The sequence below is a fragment of the Homo sapiens genome, chromosome 2, assembly GCF_000001405.40.
Source record: "Homo sapiens chromosome 2, GRCh38.p14 Primary Assembly".
Taxonomy (NCBI): domain Eukaryota; kingdom Metazoa; phylum Chordata; class Mammalia; order Primates; family Hominidae; genus Homo; species Homo sapiens.
This window is the reverse complement of record NC_000002.12, coordinates 100226328-100252196: the sequence shown is the minus strand read 5'-3', so window position 1 is coordinate 100252196 and position 25869 is coordinate 100226328. Positions and strand designations below refer to the sequence as shown.

Genomic DNA, 25869 nt, shown 5'->3' with positions numbered 1-25869 from the left:
GTGCTGTTTGTCTGCTGTTCCTCAGTAAAAAAGTGAAAATCACCTTAACCAAGCGTGTGTTCTTACTCACCCCAGTCCTCAAACACTGACCAACCTTCCACAGTGTCCTATATAGATATATATATCTCCTGCAACCTGTGGTTAGGCCCAGCTTTATCGGTAATTAACATTGTGTAACTGTGCCTCAATTTACAGGTCTATCCTCTTTCCAGTGAACATTTGGGTTCTTTCCTTTTCCCGAACTAAACAAAGCTACAATTATTAACATTGTTTATGGCCGGGCTCACTGGCTCACATCTGTAATCCCAACACTTTGGGAGGCCAAGGCGGGAGGATCACTTGAGGTCAGGAGTTTGAGACCAGCCTGACCAACATGTAGACATGACCATGTCTCTATTGAAAATACAAAAATTAGCCAGGTGTGGTGGTGCGCACCTGTAACCCCAGCTACTTGGGAGGCTGCAGCAGGAGAATTGCTTGAACCTGGGAGGCACAGGTTGCAGTGAGCCATGACGGTGCCACTGCACTCCAGCCTGGGCAACAGAGCAAGACTTCATCTCAAAAAACAAACAAACAAAAAACATTGTTTACCAGTGCTGTTGTGAAACACTTTTGATTTCAGGTGATCTGATGTAATTGAAAGGTGTCTCACTGTGGTTTTTATTTGCCTTCTGATTCTAGAACAGCTGAGGATTTTTTTTTTTTTTTTTTTGACAGGGTTTCACTCTGTCATCCAGGCTGGAGTGCAGTGGTACGATGGTGGCTCACTGCAGTCTCAACCTTCTGGGCTTAGATGATCTTCCCACCTCAGCCTCCTGAGTAGCTGGGACTCCAGGCACATGCCACCACACCCAGCTAAGTTTTTATAGAGATGGGGTTTTGCCATGTTTCCCATGCCAGTCTCGAACGCCTGGGCTCAAGTGATCCTCTTGCCTTGGCCTCCCAAAGTGCTGGGATTACAGAGGTGAGCCACTGCGCCTAGCCACAGCTGAGGATCCTTTCATAGGCCATTGATCATCCTGCTTTCTTCTATGAATTGCCTGTCATGCCCTTGGTATGGACAGTTTTTTAACGTAGGAGTGTCATGCCTGACATGGTAAAGGAAAGGTCCAGTATCTTCCAATGGGAATGTCTTCCCAGCAGAATGACCCCAACAAAGGAGGCATTCGGTAAAGGCATGGACCACCCCAAGAGCCAGGGGATTTGTTCAGTCAGCACCTGAGCCTCCTCTTGCAGGTGTTCTAACAGAATGAGGCCAAATGTTGACTTCACTTGCAGCGATCCCTCTGCACAGTCCCTTTGAGGAACCTAAAACCTTTGCAGGTGGAAATGACGTGTTTTCAAAGTGAACACGTGCATCACCAGGTTGCGCTGAGGGAAAACTATTTCTATTCACTTTCTGTGGCAGCCGAGACAAATTACACAAAATGTTGACGTAAAACAAGGAAAGTGTATTATCTCACAACTGTGGAAGCCAGAAGTCCAAAATCAAGGTACTGGCAGGGCCATGCACCCTCTAGAAACAGCGCGGGGAAGCTGCTCTTACCCCTTCCAGCTTCTGGTGGTTGTCGGCCTTCCTTGACTTGTGGCTGTGATTCTCCAATCTCTGCCTCCCTCTTCACAGGATCTTCTCCTCTGTGTGTCTCATATAAGACACTTGCCATTGTGAGATTTTTATGAAGGGAGTGTGTGTGTGTGTGTGTGTGTGAGAGAGAGAGAGAGAGAGAGAGAAAGAGGCTGAAGGAGGGTGAAGGAAGGGCTGGTATTTTAAGCCATCCATGACCTTTTCACTGTTCTGCTGTGTGACCTGGGCCCGTTAGTTCACCACTCTGAACCTCCTCTTCTCCACCCTATGAACTGGATCCAATGACCGCCAGCTCTTGGAGTCTGGAGCATTGATGTGGGTGTGAAAGCACCTGGCATATGGTCATTACTCAACATATAACTTTGAACTTTGCTCTTTTAAAGGAAAGATGCTTACAATCTAAGATTCAGTGCTTAAAATGATAGCGAACATTTCCATGTGTCCGAAGCTGCTCCCAGCACATCACATGTATTCATTCACTTTATCCTCTTCATGACTCTATGAGACAGGCACTATGACCCTCCTCATTTTGCAGATGGGGAAACTGAGGCCCAAGGTCACAGAGCTGCTGCATGTTAACCTGTCTCTCAGGAGAAGGAATGTACTAAGGGAGGAGAAAGAAGCTCAGTGTGGACTTGAGGACTCAAAGAAAGAGAATTGCTCTGGTTGGAGAAATGCAGGAAGAAATTCAGGAAGGCTTCAGGACCTTGGTGACCATTGACGTTGATGGAGGTGGGTGTGAAGTGAAAGCCTTTGAGGTCCCTGCCCATGGACAGAGGAGTCTGCTCTTCGCAGCAGTTTCTACTGTCACACCTCCCTCACCTTCACTGGTCTTTCCAGAGCTCCAGGGAAGCAACCCTGACCCCTGACCCCCTCCAACAGGGAGGAGGTGATTCAGCCAGGCCAGATGTCAGAGCCCAAATGTCCTTTCCCAAGGATAATAACTGTGGTTATTGTCCAAACTGAGACACTTTGGTGGGGTGGGAGTTGTAACCATTAAGCCAGGAAAAGAGGTGTCATCCGCGACTATCTCAGCAAACCAGGTCAGAGAGTCACCTTGTCACTTTAGCAGCAGCTGCCTGAACCTATAGAACATAAACTGCAGCTCGACAGGCCCCTCCTGGACAGACAATGTGTTCAAGAGGAGTTTTGGGATAGTGGGGATCCCTGGTAAATGTGGCCCCAACCAAATAGAGGTGGGTGACAAGACAGCCTGGAGAAACCCTGTGCGGGGGCAGCAGGGAGAGGCAAAGGCACCCACTTGCCCAGACATGCCTTCTTAACGCACCCTGCACCGCCTTCTGTGTTTTAGAGATAACAAAAGGCCAAAGGCAAAGATCTGAGCAGATGCCTCAAAGAAGATATATAGATGGCAAATGAGCAGATGAAAAGATAATCCACATCATATGTCATCAGAGAAATGCAAATTAAAACAACAATGAGACACACCTACCGGATACCACACACCTATCAGGATGGCCCAAATCCAGGGCACAGATAGCAGCAAATGCGGTGAGGACGTGGAGCAATAGGAACTCTCATTCATTGCTGTTAGGATGCAAAATATGCAAACTGTGAAAAACAGCTTGGTGGTTTCCTTCAAAACTAAACATCCCCTTACCACACAATCCAGCAATCATGCTCCTTGGTATTTGTGCAGATGAACCGAAAACTAATGTCTGCACAGATACCTGAGCACACATGTTTATAGCAGCCGTGTTTATCATTGCCAAAACTTGGAAGTAACCAAGATGTCCTTCAGCAGGTGAAGGGATAAATAAACTGATACATGCCGGCCGGGCATGGTGGCTCACGCCTGTAATCCCAGCCCTTTGGGAGGCCGAGGTGGGCAAATCACTTGAGGTCAGTTTGAGAGGCCAAGGCAGGCGAATCACTTGAGGTCAGGAGTTCAAGACCAGCCTGGCCAACACGGTGAAATCCCATCTCTACTGAAAATACAAAAATTAGCCAGGCGTGTTGATGGGCACCTGTAATCCCAGCTACTCAGGAGGCTGAGTCAGGAGAATAGCTTGAGCATGGAAGGTGGTGGTTGCAGTGAGCTGAGATCCCGCCACTGCACTCCAGCCTGGGCGACAGACTGGGACTGCATCAAAATAAATAAATAAATAAGGATATCTCCAGACAATGGAATATTATTCAGCACTAAAAACAACTGAGGTACCAAGCTATGAAGTGAAATGGAGGAAATGTAAATGCTTCCAATTATGTGGCATTATGGGAAGGACAAAACCATGATGACAGTAAAAAGATCAGTGGTTGCCTGGGATTGGAGGAAAGGACAGATGAACAGGAGGAGCATGGGAAATTTTAGGGCGGGCAAACTATTCTGTTAAAATGGTGGACGCATGTCATTACCTGCTCTCCACACCCATAGAATGTACAACACCAAGAATGAACCCTAATGCTAACACTGGGCTTTGGGTGATGATCATGTGCCCATGGGGGTTCATCAGTTGTCACAAATGGATAACCGATGGGGGATGTGAGTAGTTGGGGAGGCTGTGCATGTGCTTGGGCAGGGGGGACGTGGGAAACCTCTGTACTTTCCTCTCAAGTTTGCTGGAAACAAACACTTCTCTAAAAAAAAAACTGTTTTTTTTAAACTACCATCTTAAACAAAAAGAGGAGGCCCCAGGTAAAAGACCTCAACCCATAATTTTCCACTGAGAAGGGACTTTCTCACTGGTGGAAGGAGGACACACCGGGTCATTATTTGAGTAATCCAGGCAGGAGACCCTGCCTGGATTGAGTAATCCAGGCGTCTGCTTCACCCATGAGACCGCCTCAGGTGAAAATAGCTTTGCGGTTGTTTTTCTTCTTTTCACCCGATGGGTCTTTGGGGGTTTGTGGCATGCCCCACGGAACAATGAACTCTCAGTTCCCCTTTCTCATTCTCCCCAGGGAGCCGAGGTGCCCTGCCGGGAGAGGGGCCACCTGTACCAGGTGTGAGAGGAGTCGCACCTGGACCCAGGCCCTGCATCCTCGTCCTGCCTCTGCATCCAGCATCCCTGCAGGAAGCCCTGTCTGCAGAAGGGCTGAAAAGTAGCCTTGCTGTGAAAGTGCTTGTGTGTCCCTGAAGGGAGAAGCAAGTCACAGTCAGGGCACTGGTTCCTGTCATCCGGTGCAACACAAAGCAGGCCCCAGGACATGGGGTGCAGACGGGAGCACAGACAGGGTGGGTGCTACTGGGGTGCTCAGGCAGCTTGAGGAGGATGGAGATGGCAAACTTTCCTTCATCATTCCAGGGCCACATTTAGGGCCGGAGGACCAGCAGGTCCCCAAAGCCTACAATGCTTCTGGAGGCCAGTGGCGAGCAGTGTCCAGGGACCCCACAGCCACCACTGAGGCCCACCTGCTCATCCCTCAGCTGGGTGTCCACTGGCGGCCACACTTCAGGTCTCCGGGACGCGGAGTTTGGGCTTCTCTCCCGAGCGGAAGTTATCCAAGTGCCCTCGGCATCCCACGGATTTGCTTTGTCTCTGAGGGAAGAATTAAGGAGTGTTAGCATGATATCAGAAAACTGCTAATTATGGTGAAGAGCTAACACGGCAATCTGGGAACTTGTGGAGCTCTAGTTAGTGATGACAGAAGAGGAAAATATTTGACTGTTTTGTGCTGCACCCAGGTTCTCAGGAGGCGGCAAGAGACGAGAGTTGGCGCTGTGCCATGCTCGGAGCCCCTGGTCCTAGAGACGCTGCTTTCCCCGTGGGAGTTCGGAGCAGAGGCAGCAGCTGGGAAGCTCAGGATGGAGTGAGGAAGGAGAGCGACTTGGGGTGCTTGGGTTGCAGAGATCTAACGCCCCAAGAGAGACTAGCTGTGGCCTGTGCCCACCCCAAACTCACACACTGTTGTGCTCACACACGTGTACACACTCACACACATTTCAACACCCGCACGCCCAAGCTCACACACCACACTCACACGCCTTAGTCACACACACATACACACATTAACACACATACACACTCACATTTGCACATACACACACACACAGTTATGCACCACAGACACACACTCCCAAGTTCACACACCACTATCACACACATCTCTTCACACACACACACTCACCTACACACTCTCACACATGGAACACCGACACACTCTCCATTACGCACCTGCCCTCTCTCACACGCACGCACAAACACACACGTTTCAAGCCGAATTAGAGCTCTTTTTTTGGTCCCACAAAGAAAACGGTAACCTCAGCATCTTGGTCTCAACGAGAACTGGGTGCATGATCCCATCCAACCACAAGGGGGAAAATGAGGAAATGGGTCCTCCATGTCCTCAGACACTGGAGAACAGAAGTATACGCCAGCTCTAACGGGCACCACACATGAACAGGAGGGATTGAAACAGAAAAGGGGTTCCTCCTGATGCGTGGCATTGACAGAGCCCAGTTCTGCCTCATGCCAAGCACCATCTCGCCCCTTGATGATGGAAAATGGTTGCATGTCTTGTTTCCTGGCCCCCATCTCTGTCTTGGTACAGAGTAAAGACTTGAGCCTCCCTTCTAAAGACAGGAGTCCCGCTGAGCTGACCCACCAGCTGACAGATGAAGCCATGACATCTGCTGACCAAGTTCCCCAAGACCCCTTGAGACTCAATTTCTGAAGAGGGTCTGCTGGGAATATCCTGTCTCCATGCTCTGCCCCGCTGTTGGGACACCCTCAGCCTCTGTGGAGCCTCTTGGTCTGACAGCGGGGCTGGATGACTGGCCACCTCTTGACTGTGCCAGCACCTCTACTGCCATGTTCTGCCTGGGGGACTGGAGTTCCTTCTAGCCCTGGCAGAGGGGACTACCCCTAGGATCTGTCCCACCCCATAGCTGGAGTCCTCCCAGTCTACGGGGGTCAGCCCATATGACCAGCAGACTCCTAAAACATGAAGGCCTTTTATTTAGAGAGCTCAGTGAAGGATACGACCAGAGAAATGAGCATCAAGGCTGAGATGAGGGAGCCACACTGGGATACAGCCTAAATTAGTTTTGACCCCCCTGCAAATCCTGCCTTGTCCCTTCTCTCAGTTAACTGAAAACCCAATAGCAGTTAAGTTCAATTCAGAAGCTGAACACCAAGCCAGGCATTGTATAAACGCCTGGGACCAGCAGTGAGTAAAAGACTAAAAAACATGGCCTTTGCCCTGTGGGATTTGTCTATGGGGAAGATGGATATTAAGCAAGTGTGAAAGTATGAAAAACCTCTGTGTGTGTGGGTGGGTGTATTAGAGCTCTATAGAAGCACATACAAAATGGAGAAATTATCCTAGTCTAGTGGCTTAGGAAAGAGCCTCCTAGGAAAATGGCATTTAATATGAAACTCAAAGTACGTAACAGTGCTTGGCCAGAGAAACAAGGTGTGTGGCTTAAACATGGTCACAAGATTAAAGACACACATTAAAGGTCACACATTCTTTGCTCCTCCATTCTCTGAAAGAGTCAAATTCCTAGTCCTCATCCCCTGGATTCTGGGCTGGCCCTAGCCTTTGCCTGTAGAATGAGGTAAAAGTGACTTTCTGGGTTTTCTGAGGCTGAGTCATGAGAAGCCTTGAGCTTCTGCCCAGACCTTTCAGAAAACATGCCCGGGGAAACCAGAGGCTGCGTAAGGAGTACAGCTATCCGAGACCACCATGCTGTGAGGAAGCCCAAGTTAGCCTCGTGGAAAGGCAGCATGGAGAGAGGAATACCCAACTGGTCCCCTGCTGTTCCTGCCACCCCAGTAGAGCCCAGGCAAATGAGTAAGGAAGGCTTTGATAGTTCCAACCCCAGCCACCCTCTGACTATAACTGCGGGAGAAACCCTGAGTGGGAACCACCTATATAAGCCCAGTCAACCAACAGAATTGTGAGAAATAATAGTAAGTTATGCTTTAAACCACTGAGTTTTAGAATAATTTGTTCTACCGCTATAGACAACTGAACCAGCTCCTCAGGACCAGCTGCAGTACCTCACCCTCGGGCATAGGACAGACAGAGAGATTTTTTTTTTTTTTTGAGACGGAGTCTCGCTGTGTCACCCAAGGTGGAGTGCAGTGATGTGATCTTGGCTCATTGCAACCTCCACCTCCCAGGTTCAAGCAATTCCCCTGTCTCAGCCTCCCAAGTCACTGGGACTACTGGTGCATGCCACCATGCCCGGTTAATTTTTTTTTTTTTTTGTATTTTTAGTAGAGACAGGGTTTCGCCATTCCTAAAATGTGAAGGTGTTTCTTTTAGAGAGGTCAAGGAAGGATATGACCAGAGAAATGACCAGCAAGGCTGTGATGAGGGAGCCACCCTGGGATACAGCCTAAATTAGTTTTGATCCCCCTGCAAATCCTTCCTTGTTCCTTCCCTCAGTTAACTGAAAACCCAATAGCAATTCAGTTGAAGCTAGCCTCATGGAAAGGCAGCGTGGAGAGAGGGATACCCAACCAGTTCCCTGCTGTTCCTGCCACCCTAGCAGAGCCCAGGCAAGTCAATAAGGAAGACTTTGATGGTTCCAGCCCCAGCCACTCTCTGACTGTAACTGTGTGAGAAACCCTGAGTGGGAACTACATTTATCCAGTTATCTGTAGTGGTGTAACAAATCATTCTAAAACTCAGTGGTTTAAAGCAATAATTTATTATTATTTCTCATAATTCTGTTGGTTGCCTGGGCTTATATAGGTGGTTCCCACTCAGGGCTTCTTACACAGTTACAGTCAGATATTGGCCAGGCAGGTCTCTAACTCCTGACCTCAAATGATTTGGCTGCCTCGGCCTCCCAGTGTGGTGGGATTACAGGCATGAGCCACCGTGCCCGGCCCAGAGATAGACTTTTAATCCATCCACAGATGAACCGGGGAGAGGAGTGATTCATCAACGTTTTGAAACTGTATTTAAGTTAGTTTGGAGATGGGTGCATTAAATTTCTCCTGGGGACAAGACCTATCGTATTTAGAAAGCACCTGAGAACACTTTAGAACCAGGGATTCATGATCATGTTTTCTGAGCCGGCCATGATTATGCTGGGGAACTAACAACACATGCATGTAGCTGGATACAATGTAGATTCCTCAAAAGAAGAACCAAGGGAGGTCATAAGATTTGAGTTAAGAAATAGAGATTTCCTACTTACTCTGTGCTGATTTAGTTCACAAAAATAAGCATTTCCTCCTTGAGGTCTAAGAATGTGTGGGGCTGGGAAACATTTGGTAAGACTGTGAGGAAAAGAACTGAAAACAAAAGTTCAGAAAGAGTTGGCAGAGCACAGGGCCTGCTGGGCTCTCCTTGCATCTAGGTGGTCCCTGGGCCCTCGCGGGTGAAGGGCCCTGGCCCCGCTGGAGCCTGTCCAAGGCTGAAGGTGTGAGGTTGGGGTCTCCCAGGCCTCCTCAGAGCAGATGAATGAAGGTGGGGACAGAGGGCAGGACAGACCCTGTCCAGATAGGAATGTTCTGTCCCTGGGGCACCTGTGCCTGCATCTCTCTGCATGTTTACACCGCCTCTGCCTCCAGGTGGCACTCTGAGGCCACATCCTGCTTCTCCTGCTTTGAAACAGCCAGGCCACCCCCTCCGGCCTTCAGCCAGTGTCTTCCAGAGAGCCCAAGCCAGGCCTGTCCTTTGGGGGTGAGGAAACCTCACACAGTGCTTTCCAGAAGTGGGGGAGACAGTAGCATAGCCTCCTGCCTCCTCCAGGTCTTGGCATCTGGGTTTCTCTATTCCTGAAGAAACAGAATTCACAACTTACCCTCTTCAGCCCGTGAAACTGGAGTGTTTGTGGGAGGGCCAGGCCAGCACAGCATTTTCTGTCTTCACCCCATCTGATATTCCAGCGTCCAGTGAAGGCTGTCTCCAGAGCCTGGGGGTGCAGGAGGCCGCCTGGAGGGATTTCCCCACTCTTGTTCCCCTCCACCGCCACCTCACGTTCTTTCCATGAGGCCTCATTCGCCGGTTCCTGGAGGTCTGAGCACACATCACCCACCTTGGACAGCTGCCTCATCTCATGGGCAGCCCACACCACATCAGGCAGGAGGTGGCCGACAGCGCATCCCCAGGGCGGCCCAACGGAGGGAATTTGAGTGCATGAAGCAAGAGGACAGCTGTTCTTGCTCTGTGGGGAGTCCCTTTTCAGCTAGCACCCAGTCAGCAAATGACTCTTCTCCACAAAGAGACAGAGGATGAACCTCCTCTCTAGTTTTGGCAGCAGAGGCCATGAGATCCACGGCGAGAGGCCAGAGCTGTGCAGGCTGCAAGGGGCACCAGCTCAGGGATTCCGAACGGAGGAAGGTACTTTCCAGAGAGTACTGCAGGGTATCAAGCCTTCTCCACAGTCCCACCAGTAAAACCCCTGGGGCTCAGCCTAAACCCGATCCTAGAAATGACATCCCAACACAAGCTTTGCAGGGTAAGTAAAATCTAGAGAGGAGAAAAGGCAGACCCAGGCAATGAGAAATGCAGGTGGTCTGGACCAGCTCAGGACAGACATAGCACCTTTTCCATATGCAGTGAATGATGTTCTCATGTTTGTTGGTGTGAGGAATTGAACATTAATATCAGAAGCATTCTGTGTTACCTACAGCTGACTTTATGTTATGTTGAAGTCAACTGGATGACAAACTGTCTTTTGTCTTCATTCTAGAGCAAAGATACTAACTATTCCTTTCATTGTCTTTAGGGACACTCACGTTAATTAAAACTCTTCTGGGGTTCGTCATGAATATAGTTCTAGTTCGGGCACCCAGAGGACCCAAATGAAGCAACTGCCACACTTATGGAGCACTGCTCTGAGAAGCCATGTTCCTGCCTGGTTCTCCATGGTTATGAGCTTATAGCAGAAAATGCATAGAAACACCCTGTCTCAGCCTGATTTCCCCTAAAGTACATCCCAAGACAAGGGCTGATGGGATTGAGGTTTATTCAGGGATGCAATCCCCAACAGTAGGAGTGAGGGGCAGGAAAGAGGGCAGGGAGGATAGGCATTATGGAATTGGGCAACACAATCAGTCATAGATGCTCTCAAGAATCTTCTGAACCTGCCAATTGAGAAACCAGGGAGCACAATGACTCCCCTCTCATGCCTCCCAGGTCAAGGGGCTCCTTCCGGGGTATGAACTCTGCTGCACTCCCAGGTGACAGGGATGTGAAGCAGTTTCAGGCGCCCCACACCTGGGCATCACAGGGAGGTCCTGAGGCAGGGTACTGTCAGTTCTTCACTCCGGGGTGAAGCTGGTTGCCACCAGATGGGACCTGGTTCCTGCCCCAGTGGTGAGGCTGCAGAAGCTGGGTTGAGTTACAAGAGATGTTATCCACACAAGCACGGACCACCGTGGGGAACGGGTCAGTGTTTAGACCACAATTCTCCATAGAAAGAGTGTTATGAATAAACAATGACTAGTGTAGCTTGTAGTCAAGTCCACAAACACCTTGAGCCCCCTTCTGAGTAAACTGTCCTGGGAAAAACATCAAGGCTCTTGCGTTGAAAGTCAACAGAAAAGGAATCATCTGGAGTAGAATAGTATGTTTAATGTTCATCATGGATGCTGGCGCTTGAGGAAAGCAGGCTTCCTTGGAGAAAAGGAATGAGGTCGTTAGAGACAGCACTGAGACTGAAAGGTGCTTCTGGGTCTGTTCCAGAACTTTAGAAATGGAAGGCCCGGGAGCATCATTGCATTGACCTCCCCAGCAAAACACGGGTGTGGTGTGTGCTTTTCCTCAATACACTATGATCACCAACGCCACATCCACATTGTTCGCCCCTGATTTTGGTTAGTATTTAGCTCCCAAACAGAAGGAAGAGAGGGATGGAAAATGGAAAGAGATTTTCCTGGAGAAACTCCTTTGAGTCACAAGAGAATGAGAAGGAGGAAGAGATTAGAGAATAAAGATGGGCGCGTGTGAGGGAGGATGCCTGCGGGATGCCTGTGCGATGAACTAGCTCTGCACATCACTCACTGGTCACTAAAGACAAGAGGGCCATGGTGGAGGATGGGAGGTGCATGGCACAGACTGGCTCCTCTCAGAAGGATGGGCGGAGTGAGGAGGAAGCCAGCCATCAGGAGTTGGTAGGAGGGGACACCGCTGACCCCAGGAGCTGGGTTGCTGCCGATGATGGGGCTAGCACGGTGCAGGGCCGAGGACCAGGGCAGCGATTGTTTGTGTGAATGGAAAACATGTTGTTTCTTAGGAAGGTGGTGCAGGCCTTGGGAACTCCAGTGGCTAGTTTGCATTTTTTAAAATGTTATGCTAATAATATGTCACTGCCACGGAGAAAAGGCTCTGGTCTTCTGTGGAGTCCGGATTCTATCCCTGAACTGTTCTTGCAGGTAAAGATTTATATAAAATGCTCAGAGGAGGCTGTAATAGACTTCGAGACATATTTCATAATATTTTCTAGCATGCCACTTGATGTCACAGGCAGATTTATGAAAAGGCAGTATTTATTATACAATATTCATGTTTTATTAAATCTGATTACATTGCAGGAAAGAGAGAGTAGTGATGGCAGCCTCCAGGCTGAGCTGGGGCTGAGTCCCCCGCCCCTACCTGACGCCAGGATGAGGACCCAGACATCGCATTGTGGGCTCTCAGCTCTGTCAACGTCTTCCTCAGATAACCTGGGTGGAGGGGGGTGGGCATCCCTTGCCTCTTCTGACTCTCACTCTGTAGGAAAAGAACCGTGCTTGCCCCTCTTCCCACCTGGACAGGCAGGCAGTGGCCTGAGCAGAGTATTAATAACACATGGGGAGACAGAGGACCTCTCTCTTACCTGTGGGAGAAAGGAGCCTGGCTGGCTATCCAGCCTGCAGCCTGAAGCTTCTCTAAGGAGCCACACAGTGCGGAATTTATCCCCGGGGCTCAGCGCTCCCAGCTCCCCAGCCAACCTGCCCTCCTTGGAAACCTGAGAAGATTCACTTCAAACAGGCCTCCCTGGGCCAAGAATCAAATTGGCCTGGCTCCCCTCTGATCTCCGGGAGTCTGTGAGCAGGGGGTCCCGGCAGCTGGAGTAACTCAACCCCTGCACAACCCAGGTTCTTTTCTTTTCCTGGACAAGATTTATGCGGCAGGGTTTAGTCTTTACCGCAGATAGACATTCCCAGGAGAGGCCCTGAACTCCCCTGTACCACAGCCCCTCAGTCCCTGCAAGCTAACTGGAAGATGGGCTTTTAGATGAAGTTGGGTTGATACCCAAGGAAAAGAGAATTTGTATGAGATTGAGGAATCGCTTTGCACAACTTGATGGACTGTGCTGACCCTTGGAGGGGAGGAAAACAAGGGGCTTTGTCAGCTGCGACAGTGTGAAGGAGTCAAGGCTTAGGCTCTGGAGATAAGAAAAAACAGATTTGAGCCCCGGCTACCTTGTGTGCTGCCTTGTGTGACCTTTGGCACTAACATCCTCTGTCTCAGTTTTCCTACCTGTATAACAAGGAGGGGAACAACCTCGTAGGGTTGCTGTGAAATAATGAATATTAAGCACAGCCCTGGCACAGAAAAAGAAGTCAATAACTGTTAGCCATTATTGAGAGGTCATTTAGTTAATTCATTTAAAGCCACAGAGCCAATGGCTTTGCTGTTGTTTGATACAGGTCATTACTGACCAGTGGACAGTGTTCCCATACAGAGGGGTGTCACCCAGGAAATGATGGGGGAACAGAGAAGCAGGCCCTGGCTGTCATCAGTCCCCACCCAATGCTAGGTCTACACTGGCCAATGCTTGAGCGCTAAGGATGTTAGAGTTAGGAGGGGGTGCCAAGTGATGTGAAATAATGAAATATCTTGTGCACAAAGCATCCCCGTGTGTCTGGGGGCTGCAGACATTTGCCGCAGGAGGGCTGTGCCTCCCGTGGGTGCAGCTCTGCACTTCTCCACCGCGGGACCTAAGAACATGCTCAGGCTGCAGTGAATGCCCTTTTATTTACCTGGCGATGTCAGCTCCAGACAGCCTGGGCCTGGCTGCTGATCTGAATCCTAATCAGCTCCTCACATCTCCCTTTCTTTAAGGACCCTGGGATGCTAATCACATCCCCAGGGAGGGGCTGCCGCTCTGTGAGCATCTGCAGTGGATGCAGGGCGGGCCTCATTCAGCCTTTAGGCAGTGGCCAGGGAGAAAAAGGATTTTTTAACTTTGCTGACAGTTTCAATTAAAAAACAAAATAGAATAAAGACTTGTGTCTGTTGGCCATACTGCAGTGACATTTGTATTTTTTAAACAATTATTCAAAATTACTTTCTATGCAACCTCCATTTTAGTTTGTCTTTAAAGTTGCCCTTGTCTATTGATGTGTAACTCAGTGCCCCCAAGAAATTGTGACAACAGCCCTACACCTCACTCTAGGTTTCCCATACACACTCTCAGGGTTGTATTGGAGGAACTCCTTTTCTATACAGATACCCTGAGAAAGGACCAGGACTGTTATAAGAAGGGTTTTAATATCCTTGGAATTGAATCCAGCCCTTCTTTCATTGAGTGTATATGTGCTACGGCACAGCTGGGTGGAAGAGGCCCTGCCCTCAGGGGCTTCCACTCAAAGTGAGATGCTACATGGCTTCAGCCTTTCCTGCTGCCTGGAGCTCTGCTGGTCAGCTCTCCCTGTTGGACACCCACCCCCTTCCCCAGCAGATAGTGCTGGAGTGCATCGTAAGAAAGGAGGTGACACATCTAGGGAGGAGGTTGTGGGAGGGGAGGCCCGTGGCTCTGTGACACTCATGCCCCCAGTGGACGTCTGCCCTGCACTGCGCCTGTCACCCGGCCCCTGGGAGACGGTAGATAATGACTGCAGGGACTCCTGGGGAAGTCTCCCTTCCCACCGCTACATTTATTCCATCAGAGTTTTTTTTTTGTTTTGTTTTTTGTTTTGTGTCTGTGTGTGGGGGTGTTTTTTTGCCTAAGTCTAATTAAGTCTAATTGGTGCAGTCATTATGTCAGAGTGAATGTTATTATTTTAGTCAAAAGCAGTAAACTAGAAAAGACAGTCTGTACGACAGCTTTCCTCTCTGTTCCATGGCTAAGGTTTTTAGGAGAGGCCCAACAAGACCTGACCGTTTACAGTTGTCATCAACTCAGACCTTCCAGGTCCCCAGAGAACAAATAGAAAACGGACCTGTTGAGTTTTGCCTCCCATAATCTTAAGTGAAGCTGTGAAAGTTCGCATATCTAGACTACGTCTACCTAGAGAGGGAAGATAGCGCTGCATTCCTTTCCTCCTAGGAGTTGCTTGTCTACCCGGTGGGATTCCTCACCGTTGAGTGCTGAACGCAGCCAACGGGAGGGCAGTGTGCATTTGTTGAATGAATGAATGAAATATTCAGCATCTGTGTGTGTGACACACTGTACCATGTTAGTGCTGCACGAAGCAAATTAAACACAAGCCTCACCTTTGGTGAGCTCATGTCCTTCTCACCGCCTGCTGGCTGCTGGGTGACATGAGAAAACATACAGAAAGGAATTTGTGTTTATACTTCCACCCAGCAAAATGCATATCTGATTACAGAAAAATCAGAAATGTCTGTAGATAGAGTGCAGGGTTTTATCAAGTCATCAAAGTAAACCATGTTTTGCAAAATTGCCACAAAACTGTGCATGTTCTCATGGCCCTAATTTAGAATATGTTCCTTAAACAAAGAACATCTTTGTTTGATTCCATTTGTTTTGAAGCCCATATTCTACAGATACATTCTTTCCCAGTATGATACAAAAATGTAAGAATGCTAAGTGGAAAAATTAGATCATTTTGTCAGATGCATAGATTTTCCAATTGGCAATTATATAGAAGACTAAAACATGGTTAAGTGTAATCAATATGCATTCATTCTAATTATCATCTAATAGTTCGGGACCTTGTGCTTTGGGTATCCTCTCCCCAAGGTGTTTGTTTGTGTGCTTATTTGAAATCTGTCAGTAAAGACAAGTACTTCCTACAGAATGCACAACACCACTCTCCATGGATGGTTCTTGGAAGGTTTCCTGAGAAGTGAGGGAAATGTCACAGAAAAGCCATGGTGATTTTGAGCTGAAATCACTAACTCTGCCTTTGCCGTATTATAATGTGTAATAATTAGAAATCATTCTGAAGCCATCTAGAATCTTGCCCTAACAGTTCTCTCACACCTGAGAACTGTTGTCCATGGCATAGGTTTCTCTGAGAAGGGCTTTGAAAATGAGCTATTGCATTCGTTTGCTAAGGCTGCCTTTACAAAGTACCACAATCTGAGCAACATAAACTACAGAGAGGTGTTCTCTTGCAGCTCTGCAGGCTGGAAGCCCGAGACCAAGGCGTCAGCAGGTGTCCTTCTGAGGGCTGTGATGGAGAATCTGCTCCAGGCCCTTCTCTTTGGCTTGTAGGTAGCCGTCTTCATGTTCACACGGCATTCCCTCTGTATGTGGGTCTGTGTCCAAATTTCCCCTTTGTATAAAGTCATACGGATTAGGGGCCCATCCTAATCCAATGTGATCTCAACAGGCCTATTTCCAAATGTGGTCACATTCTGAGGTACAGGAGTTAGGACTTCAATCTGTGAATTTTGGGGGCCACACTTCAACTCATAACAGCTGTGGCAACAGCTGACTCTGATACATTGAGAGACTGTGGAAGGCCTCTCGTTCTCCCCTCGCTCCTCTCCTCCCTGCCCCTCTGGGCTCTTTCCCTATCCTTCACCCACCAATATCTGAAAACCCTTAGAGACTTGTCCCTTTGCATCTTAAAGTTGGCTTGGTCTCCTGGGATCTCACCCAGATTGCAGTTATGCCCAGGAGAGGCAGCAATAAGCCATTTCAGTGAGCTCCCGACTGTCGTGGCTTTTAACCTCCATGTGTTAAGGTGTGTCCACACCTTCACTGCCAGGTCCAGCTTTCTGGCTGGAAGGCCCGCAGCATACAAGAAAGCCATGGGGCACACTCAGTGGGATGGAGCAAGGGGTGGGAGATAGGTCTGGAAAGATCCAAAGGCAAAAATCAAAGGCAGCAATATCAGAGCAGGAGAAACTGAGCGGATCTGGGTTTGAGTCTTGGCTCTGTTACTTCTGGCTGGGTGACTTGGACAAGTCACCTGACCTCCCCGTCTGCTTGATGTGCTTATCGTCATACCTACCTGCAGGTAAGGCCACAAAATGCCCAGGAAATACGTTATGGTGGTTCTAATATCCTCGACGACTTCATCATTCTCCCTGGGCCTAGCACCGGCTGGCGGTAAAGGCGTAAGCTCTGCAATGCCTCGGAAGACTCAGCGGCTGTGAACTTGCCTTTGACACAAAAGCTGCTCTTACAGTGAGAACAGGGCCTGGAGCCCCCAGCTCCCCAGGCTCCCTGACCTGCGGTTGAGTTCTACATGCACAGCCAGGGCTGCACAGCTTCCTGAGCAGCGGGGAGGCTGTGGGCAGGAAGGGGAAATGAGAGTGGCCGAGGCTGTGCACACCTGGGCTGGATCAATGGCCACGTTGTAAAGCCGGCCCTCTGGGACGGCCTGCAATGCCCGGATCTATAGCTGTGTTAGTCATCGCCTCACCAGGCCTTCGTTTGTTTTTCAAAGTTTTGTTAGTGTGACTTGCACCTCCAGTAACTCATCTTTAACTGCCCTCCCTCCTATCTGACCCAGTTCGCACACCATTCATCTTTTCTTCTTCCTAATACATTTGATTTTCTTTACGCTCTCCATCTCAGTCTTGCTCTCTCTCTCTTTTTCTCTTTAATTTCTTCAGTCAACTAGAGATGGGGAAGCAGACCACCTGGGATGAAGGAGAGAAAGTGCTGAAGGGGAAAAGGCCACCTAGCTACATTAAGCTGGGAAAGTCTGTTTAGCTGACTTTGAAGTCCGCTAGCTCTCAGGCACTCGTCCTAGCAGACATGAGCAGCACCTTCCATTGCTAGGATTATCATTTACCTAAATTCCACTTACTTGCAGGCTGAGCCCATTTCAACTGGAGAAGTCCTTAAGAAGGTTGCCTTGCCCAACCACACGTTGCAGATGAGAAAACCAGGACTCTGGGAAGCTTACAAATTAGTTGTTCAAAGACACGTAACCAATTGCAACTCTTGATTCGAGGATCTAAATAAACTTTGCCACATAGACTTCCCCATACCTTCCTTTGTTTATTCATGTGGGAAATTTGTCTCTTAGAGCCTCTATGAAATATCACTTTGAATGCCCACATGTTTACAAATTTCATGAATAACCCCTCCAGATAGCCACTGAATGGAAATGTGTTTCAGCCTACACTAAGATGTGCCCTGCCTTTTTCTTCTGATGACATGGTGCAAAGTTATGTAAAATTCCAAACCTTACAAGAATGTAAGTAATCTCATTTCTAGGGACATGCTGCCAAAAATTGGTGCATAATTCTCCGTCTTCTTTTTTCACACTGATACTAACCCTCTTACTGTTGCTGTTGATTACTTTGGATGTGGACTCATACCACCAATGCAGTTCGGAGCTTGCGTTTTTCACTTTACATATCAGTAGGGACAGGAAGGTCTAACCCATTCTTAAGACGTGTGTGGTATTTCATCTTTCGGCTGTACCAGCATTTATTTAATCTTCTTCTTCAGAGTTCATTTGGGTTACTTTTACGTTTTTAATACTTTAAAGTCTTTAAACAAAGCCCCAAGGAACATTCTTGAGGCTTTAGAGGCTTAAATGTTAGAAGTAGAAATACAGAGTTAAAAGATTAGAACTTTAAACATTTCAGTAGATATTGCTAGGTTGCAAGCCAAGAAGGTGTACTGATTTACACTTGCACCAACAATGTACCTGGGTGCCAGTTACTTCCTATACCCTCACCAATGCTGAACTTCATCAGCCCATTTTTACGTTGGTCAATTTGATAAGTGGAACAATATGTCATTGCAGTTTAATGAGCACATCTTGATTAGCCCTTGTTTCCTCTTCCTGGCCAGTCACTGCTTCTTGACTTTTCTCACCCCTTAATGCATATATACATGGGAAGTATCCACACATTTTTAGTCGATGTTTTAGTTAGCAAAACATAGCCAGAAGGCAATAAGTGGCAAATTCACACCCTAAAGTTCAGAGCGGAGAGTAAGTGACTTTCAGACAAGCGGTACCATCACGCGCCTCCATTAGCCCAGCTACGTGTCTGTTACCATATTCAAAACTCATAACCAAGACATTTTCTGGCTGCCTTGACACAACAGGGATGATATTAGCTGGATGAGAGCGCTGAAGAACAATTCTGTTTCACAGACAGGTGTCTTCTCCAACCAATCAGGCAGCCACCTCTACAATCACTCCAAGGGTGATGCCTCACATAAGGTAAAACTTGCAGGACCAACAGTGAGAAATGAACCTCGCCCCTGCTGGCCTGCACCACCTCAGACTTTAATCATTTTCCACTCTGGCCTGTTGAGCTATTTCTTGTCTCAGCATGGGGCATATGCTGGCTGGTCTCCAATAGACCTCATGTATGGCAGGTGCCGATGGCCATGAGAAGGAAGTTGCTGGGTGGATAGGTTCTGACTCTACCCTGGATCTGATTGGCTCTGGTGTTCATGGGGGTCTGCTCTGTTTGGATTCCCCAGACAACTTGACCTGCCCTTCCTCCCACCCTTTCTATTTTAACCTCATCTAATGATAGCTGGAAATGAGCCAGTTCCAGAACTGGCAAGAAACCTGACTTGTCCAGGTGGCCACAAGACCACCCCCAAAGCCAGCTTGGACCTCTGCCCCTGAGTGGAACTGCTCATAAAACATGTTCTGTGTTTCTCCTCTCAGACACACATTTCTGAAATTAATATGTCACCACCTTCACTGGGGTCACTGCCTGATGGAGGGCAAGGCTATGTATACTCATGTACCTGGCAACGATATCTGATTTATTTTTTTAAGAAAAATGCTCACATTTGTAGCACTACATATGTTTCTTTAATTTCCCTAGATTAGTTTTTGAGTACCATGTTGCTTTCATAGTACTCGGCCTAAACACAATTAAGCCTACTTTAAGATTCACACTTGAAGAGTGTGAATAACATAACTCATTCAACCCCACTTATAAAAAGAGGAAACATGCGAGGCTCGTTAGGGTTTCTTAGGTATTAATTTAAAAATTAATTACCAGTGTTTTTATATCCCATCAGAATCTTCCCAGCTCTCTTTAGGAGATATTCCTAAAATCAGTTCTTTATTATTACTTTTGAGCACATTTGCTCCATGACACCGTCTATGAAAAGAAAAATTCTTTTCCTTGAATATTCAAACCTGCAGAATATTGTGGACTAAAGTATGAATGAAAACTTGTTGAGGGTTGTGATGAGTGAGAGAGATTCTCTTGCAAAGGGCCCAGAAGATGATTAAGGAGTAAGGAAATGAAATAGTTAAAAGATGTTGGAATAATTCAGCCTGGGGAAAACCCCAATAAGTAACTTAGGGGGAAAGAAAGCTCATTAAGTTCTCTCCATCATAAAATTATTTATGCCACTTTTTTTTTTCTTTGTAGAGACAGGGATGATGCCCAAGCTGGTCTCAAGCTCCTGGCCTCAATCCTTTCTCAGCCTCCCAAAGTGCTGGGATTACAGATGTGAGCCACCACACTTGGCCACATATTCATGCTAATCCTAGAGAATACAATTTTAGAGGAAAGACAAAGGAAAATCACTCATAAGCCCACCATCTAAAGAAAACGTTGCTGACATTTTTATTAATTTCCAGGCACTTTCTATACACACATTATTTTTACATTGTTGTGATCAGATTATATACGTGAATAACAGTCATGTCATTGTACATTGATACAGGTTCCCAAAATAGTTTATTTCATGATCCTGGCTGTTGCTGCCCTCCTCAAACCCTGTTTATTTATTTGTTTATTCAACAAATACTTATGGAATCCCTCATTAAGGGCCAGGTCCTGAGAGGACTGGAGTGAACCAGACAGAAAGGAATCAGCTCTGATGGAATACACATTCTTGGTGAAGGAAACACAATAAATGAATAAACAAGTGTTAAGTGTGATGGGAAGCTACTGGAAATTTGTAAGCAGGGAGTAGCGTCATCTGCTTTACATGTTTTAAAAGGTTTCCTTCTGTGTGGAGGGTGGATTGCAGGGAGAGGAGAGCAGCAGCAAGGAGGGCAGGTGGGAGGCTGCTGCGTTCCTGGAGACCAGAAAGATGGCGGTGTGTTAGTCCGTTTTCACGCTGCTGATAAAGACATACCTGAGACTGGGCAATTTACAAAAGAAAGAGGTTTAACTGGACTCACAGTTCCACTTGGCTGGGGAGGCCTCACAATTATGGCAGAAGGCAAGTAGGAGCAAGCCACATCCTACATAGATGGGGACAGGCAAAAAGAGATTGAGAACCAGGCAAAACGGGTTTCCCCTTATCCAACCATCAGATCTCGTGAGACTTACTCACTACCACGAGAACAGTTTGGGGAAAACCACCCCCATGATTCAATTATCTCCCATCGGGTCCCTCCCACAACACGTGGAAATTATGGGAGTAAAATTCAAGATGAGATTTGGGTGGGGACTCAGAGCCAAACAGTATCAGGCAGTTTGGCTGGAAGGGATGGAGGGAGGTGGAGAGGAGAGGAATGGACAGCAGTGGGGGCCACAGAGCTTGCTGATGTGTGTTATGGATATGAAACGGATGTAAGGAAACAGGAGGAATCTAGGATGGCTGCCAGGATTCTAGCTTGAATGACTGGCTGAATGAGGGAGATACAGGTTTGAGGAGAAATGGAGAGCCCTGCTGTGGGTGGGCGAGATGCCCATCCAGGAGGACACATCAAGCTTGCAGTTGGATGAGTGCCTCTGGAGTCCAGAGCCAAAGTCATCTAATGGAGACTTGTTGACACATGGCAGCATTTAAAGCTGTGGAACTGGAGGAGACCTTGGGGAGAGAGTGTGAATGGAGAAGAGGAAGGCCCTGACTTTTAAAAGCTGAGCAGAGGAAAAGGAGCAACATGGCCTATACCCCAACCACATGCTCCCTGCCTGCCACCACAGTCCCTGGGATATGTGAAATAAGAGATAGGCTCTTCTCAATAAATTATGCCATTTTTATAAAGGAATATGTAGTATTCTATAACCTCTTAAAACTGTGGAAGTCAAAGCAGCATTCTACAATTTTGATTTAAAAGATGACAAGCTGTGTATTGACAATCCAATATTTAAATCACACAATAAAACATATTTAAATTATTTTATAGGTCCACATTATAAAAACTTTTATTTTCAAGGGCTGCTTTTAAAATGTGGTGGCATTTTTACACAGTTCTGTGTATATTTTAAAATTTCCTTTGGAACTTACTTCTTGACCAATGGATTATTTAGAAGTGTGTTGTTTAATTTACAAGTGTTTAGAGATTTTCCTGACTTCCTTACCTTACTGAGTTCTGGTTTGATTTTATTATGGTCAGAGAACATAATCTGTATGATTTGAATCCCTTTACTTTTTTCTTTCTTTCTTTTTTTTTTTTTTTTTTGAGATGGAGTCTAGCTCTGTCGCCAGGCTGGAGTGCAGTGGCATGATCTTGGCTCACTGCAACCTCCACTTCCCATGTTCAAGCGATCCTCCTGCCTCAGCCTCCTGAGTAGCCGGGACTACAGGTGCCCGCCACCACGCCCAGCTAATTTTTTGTATTTTTAGCAGAGACAGGATTTCACCATGTTGGCCAGGATGGTCTCGATCTCTTGACCTTTTGATCCGCCCACCTCGGCCACCCAAAGTGCTGGGATTACAGGTGTGAGCCACTGCACCTGGCCAAATCTCTTTAAACTTTTTGAGGTTTGTTTTATGGTCCAGGATAGTGTATGTTTTCAGAACGCCCTTGAAAAAAATTGATATTCTGTTGTTATGGGGTGGAATGTTCTATATGTATCAATTAGATCCTATTGGCTAATTGCATTGTTTAGATCTTCTGTCTTCTAGCTAATTTTCTTTCTAGAAATTCTATCAGTTGCTGAGAGGAAGCTGATGAAATATCCAACTACAACTGTGGAATTGTTTATTTTTCCTTTCAGTTTTATTAGTTTTGCTTCATGGATTTTGAGGCTCCGTTACTCGGTGTGCACACATTTAGGATTGTTATTTTTCCTAGTGGATTGATTCTTTTATTATTATGTAATATCCCTGTTTGTCCCAAGTAATTTTCTTTGAGATCCACTTAATCATATATCAATACAGCTACCTCTGTTTTTGTATTATTGCTTGCATCTATCTTTTTCTATACTTTTGCTTTCGATGTACCTGTCATTGAATTTGAAATAATTTATTAAAAGCAACATATAGTTGACACACAGTTTTTAATCTACTAAACTAATCTCTGCCTTTTAATTAGTATGTTTAGACTACTTACATGTAAGGTAATTATTGATATGTTAGAGCTTAAGCCTGCGATTTTATTTTCTGTTTCTTGTAACTTTCCTATGATTCTCATTTCTGTTTCTTTTTTTTACCTTCCTATAGATTACTTGCACAAGTTTTAGAATTCCATCTTGATGTGTTTATAATGTGTTTGAGTGTATCTCTTTGAATAGCCTGTTCAGTGGTTGCTCTGGGTATTACAGTGAACATATGTGACTTATTGCTGTCTACTACTATCAACATTTTACCACTGCAAGTGGCATGTGAAAACCTTACTGCCATTCAGGCCCCTTTACCTTCCCCTCATTGACTCAAGTGAGAACTGGTCTTGTAATTTTGATTCCCTCAATCAAATATGATTGATGACACTCATAAGGAATAGGATAGCCTATCGTATGTACCCATATATTTTCTCTTTCCATTGTATTTGCTTCCTGATGCTCAAGATTCTTTCTTTCATCATTACCCTTCTGTTTGAAAACTTGCTCTAGCCATTCTCTGAAATTAGGTCTGTTAACCGCACAATCTTTTGGTGTCCTGTCATCTGACAATAGATTTATTTACTATTTATTCCTGAAGGATAGTTTTGCCAAATGTAGAATTTGTGGCTGGCAGGTATTTTTTTTTTTCCTTTCAGAGCTTGAAAAATGTGTCACTTTCTTCTGGTCTCCAGGGTTTCAGAGGAAGAGAAATTCACTGTCACGCAAACTGGTGTTTCCCCATAGGTAATGTGTCATTATCCTCTGGCTGCTTTCAAGAATTCTTTTTGGTCTTTATGTTTTCAGAACTTTAATTTGATGTGTCTTGGCATGGATTATTTTGGATGTATCCTGTTTGGGATTCACTCAACTTCTTGAATTTGTAGGTTTATGTCTTTTTGCCAAATTTGAGAAGTTTTCAGCCGTTCTTTCTTTGAATTCTCTTTCAGCCACAGAATCCTCTGGGACCCTGATGTTACAAATGTTGGATTTTTTTTGTTGTTATTTTCACACAGGTCCCTGAAGCTCTGTTCTTTTGTTTTTCAGTTTATTTTCTCTCTGTTGCTCAGATTGGGTGAAGCCTACGAGTCCTTCCTCAAGTTTATCAGTTCTAGCCTCACTCAGCTCCACTGTACTATTGAGCCCATGTAATACCTTTAATATTTTTCAGTTATTGGATTTTTCACTTCTATAATTTCTGATTGTTTCTTTTTTATAGCTTCTACTTATTTTCTGAGATTTTAATTTTTCCATTTGTGTCAACAGAATTTGTAATTCATTGTTAAAGCAGTTTTACAGTGACTACTTTTAAATACTTGTTAAATACTTTCAACATCTGATTCGTGTCAGTATTGGCATCCACTGATGGTCTTTTTTCTTTCAAGTTGTGATTTTCCTGATTCTTGGTACAATGGGTAACTTTTTACATTATATCCTGAACAGCCTGGCTATTAGGTTTGGAGATTATCTTTTTAGGTTCTGTGTGCATGCTAGTTTTGTGAGCTGTGAGTGCAATGCTAATTTCATTTTCACAGCCTTTGTGGTACTACTGTGGCCTTCCTGGTTTTTCTGGAGCTGCTGAGGCTCCCACTGGACCCTCCTGGTGCTACCTGAGGGGACATGAAGAATTTCCCTAGGCTGGTGCCTCTAAAGGTGGAAAGGGACCCTTCTATGCCTTGGAAATAAAGAGCGCTTCCTGGGCAGGATCCCTCTTGCTGGGGCCCCCCTGCCACCCATGTGTCTGGGTGGGAGAGAGGAATCTCACATCCATGGAGACTAGAAGACAGAGAAGACGGAGCTTCCCATGGCAAAACCCTCCTTGCCAGTACTGCCCAGCTTCTGGTGTCTCTCAGTGGAGGAGAAAGGTCTCAAGCCTGCAGGGAAAGAGAGTACTTCCCTTATAGATTTTTGCCAGTGGATCTCGCGACCCGTCTCTCTTGGCATTGTCCAGGGAACTCTTGTTTCATCCAGCAGAGGAATGAGCCTTCCTGGGCCACTTCCTATTGCAACTTCGGTGTTGGGAATCACAGATGTGAGTCTCTTTCTTCAAGTGGGTGGAAGGTTGTACACACAGCATAGCCATGCTGCCAAGGTGTTCCTCCACTCCTTAGTTTCCAATCAGTTCACCTTCCTCTTTTCACCTTTCAGAGCACTCCTTTGGTTACCTTTTACATTAAAGAGAAATTCTTTGGGACTTAGGGCCAGGCAAACAATTCTTAGGCTTGACACAAAACCACAATTCAATTGATAATTTGGACCTCATCAAAATTAAAAACTCCTCTATGAAAAATTCTATGAAGAAGATATAAAGGCAAGCTACAGACAGGGAGGAAATATTTCCAAGCCACATATCCAATGAAGGTGGTAGTATCTTAAAACTCAATAGAATCAAGAGAATGAGAAGACAAGCCACAGAATGGAAAAAACAGTTGCAAGAGACACATCTGATAAAGGACTGTTATCAAAAACATGCAAAGAACTCCTAAAACTCAACAGCGAAAAAACACACAACTCAATTTAAAAATGGGCAAAAGGCCCAAACAGACACCTAACCAAAGGAAATATTCAGATGGCGAATAAGCATATGACAAGATGTTCCACAAAGGTACATGTTACATAATTCAATTTATGTAATTTAATAGAAGTAAAAATTATAGAAGTGGAAAACAGATGAGTGGTTGCCAGGGACTAGGGACAGACAGGAGTCTGGGGAAGGAAGTGTGTGGCTATAAAACATCAACAGGGGGATCCCAGTGTTGAGGGAACTGTTCTGTATTTTAACTGTGGTATGTGCATACACACACACAGCCTTACACATGTGATAAAATTGAGTAGAATACACACATGCACTCACGTGCATGCACACACGCACACACGCACACACACACACAAGTACCAGTAAAACTGGAGCAATCTAAAATCAGTGGATTTTTATCAATGTGAATATCCTGGTTATGGTATTGTGCTTTAGTATTGCAAAACATTACCATAGGAGAAAACTGGATAAAGGTGTC

The 25869-nt window shown here is 46.3% G+C and overlaps 1 long non-coding RNA gene across 1 annotated transcript in view, besides 2 other annotated features; it reads right to left on the bottom strand.

Annotated features, from left to right (window-relative positions):
• Positions 1 to 712: 712 nt before the first annotated feature.
• The window catches only part of LINC01104 (long intergenic non-protein coding RNA 1104), a 43231-nt gene continuing 18074 nt past the window's right edge, over positions 713 to 25869 (bottom strand). The window contains exons 2-3 of the long non-coding RNA NR_103730.1: positions 4959 to 5085; positions 713 to 3133 (exon numbers count right to left, since the gene is read on the bottom strand). This is a non-coding gene — a long non-coding RNA (long intergenic non-protein coding RNA 1104). The remainder of the gene's footprint in view (positions 3134 to 4958; positions 5086 to 25869) is intronic.
• Positions 2087 to 3286: an enhancer, noted in NCBI's record as "P300/CBP strongly-dependent group 1 enhancer chr2:100865373-100866572 (GRCh37/hg19 assembly coordinates)". NCBI's record gives its function as "activates an origin of replication core promoter dependent on BRD2, BRD4, P300/CBP, MED14 and CDK7 cofactors, with strong dependence on P300/CBP, by STARR-seq in HCT116 cells {active_cell/tissue: HCT116}" and the evidence as "EXISTENCE:reporter gene assay evidence [ECO:0000049][PMID:35650434]".
• Positions 4158 to 4267: an enhancer, noted in NCBI's record as "active region_16290". NCBI's record gives its function as "activates an Ori minimal core promoter by ATAC-STARR-seq in GM12878 lymphoblastoid cells {active_cell/tissue: GM12878}" and the evidence as "EXISTENCE:reporter gene assay evidence [ECO:0000049][PMID:35858748]".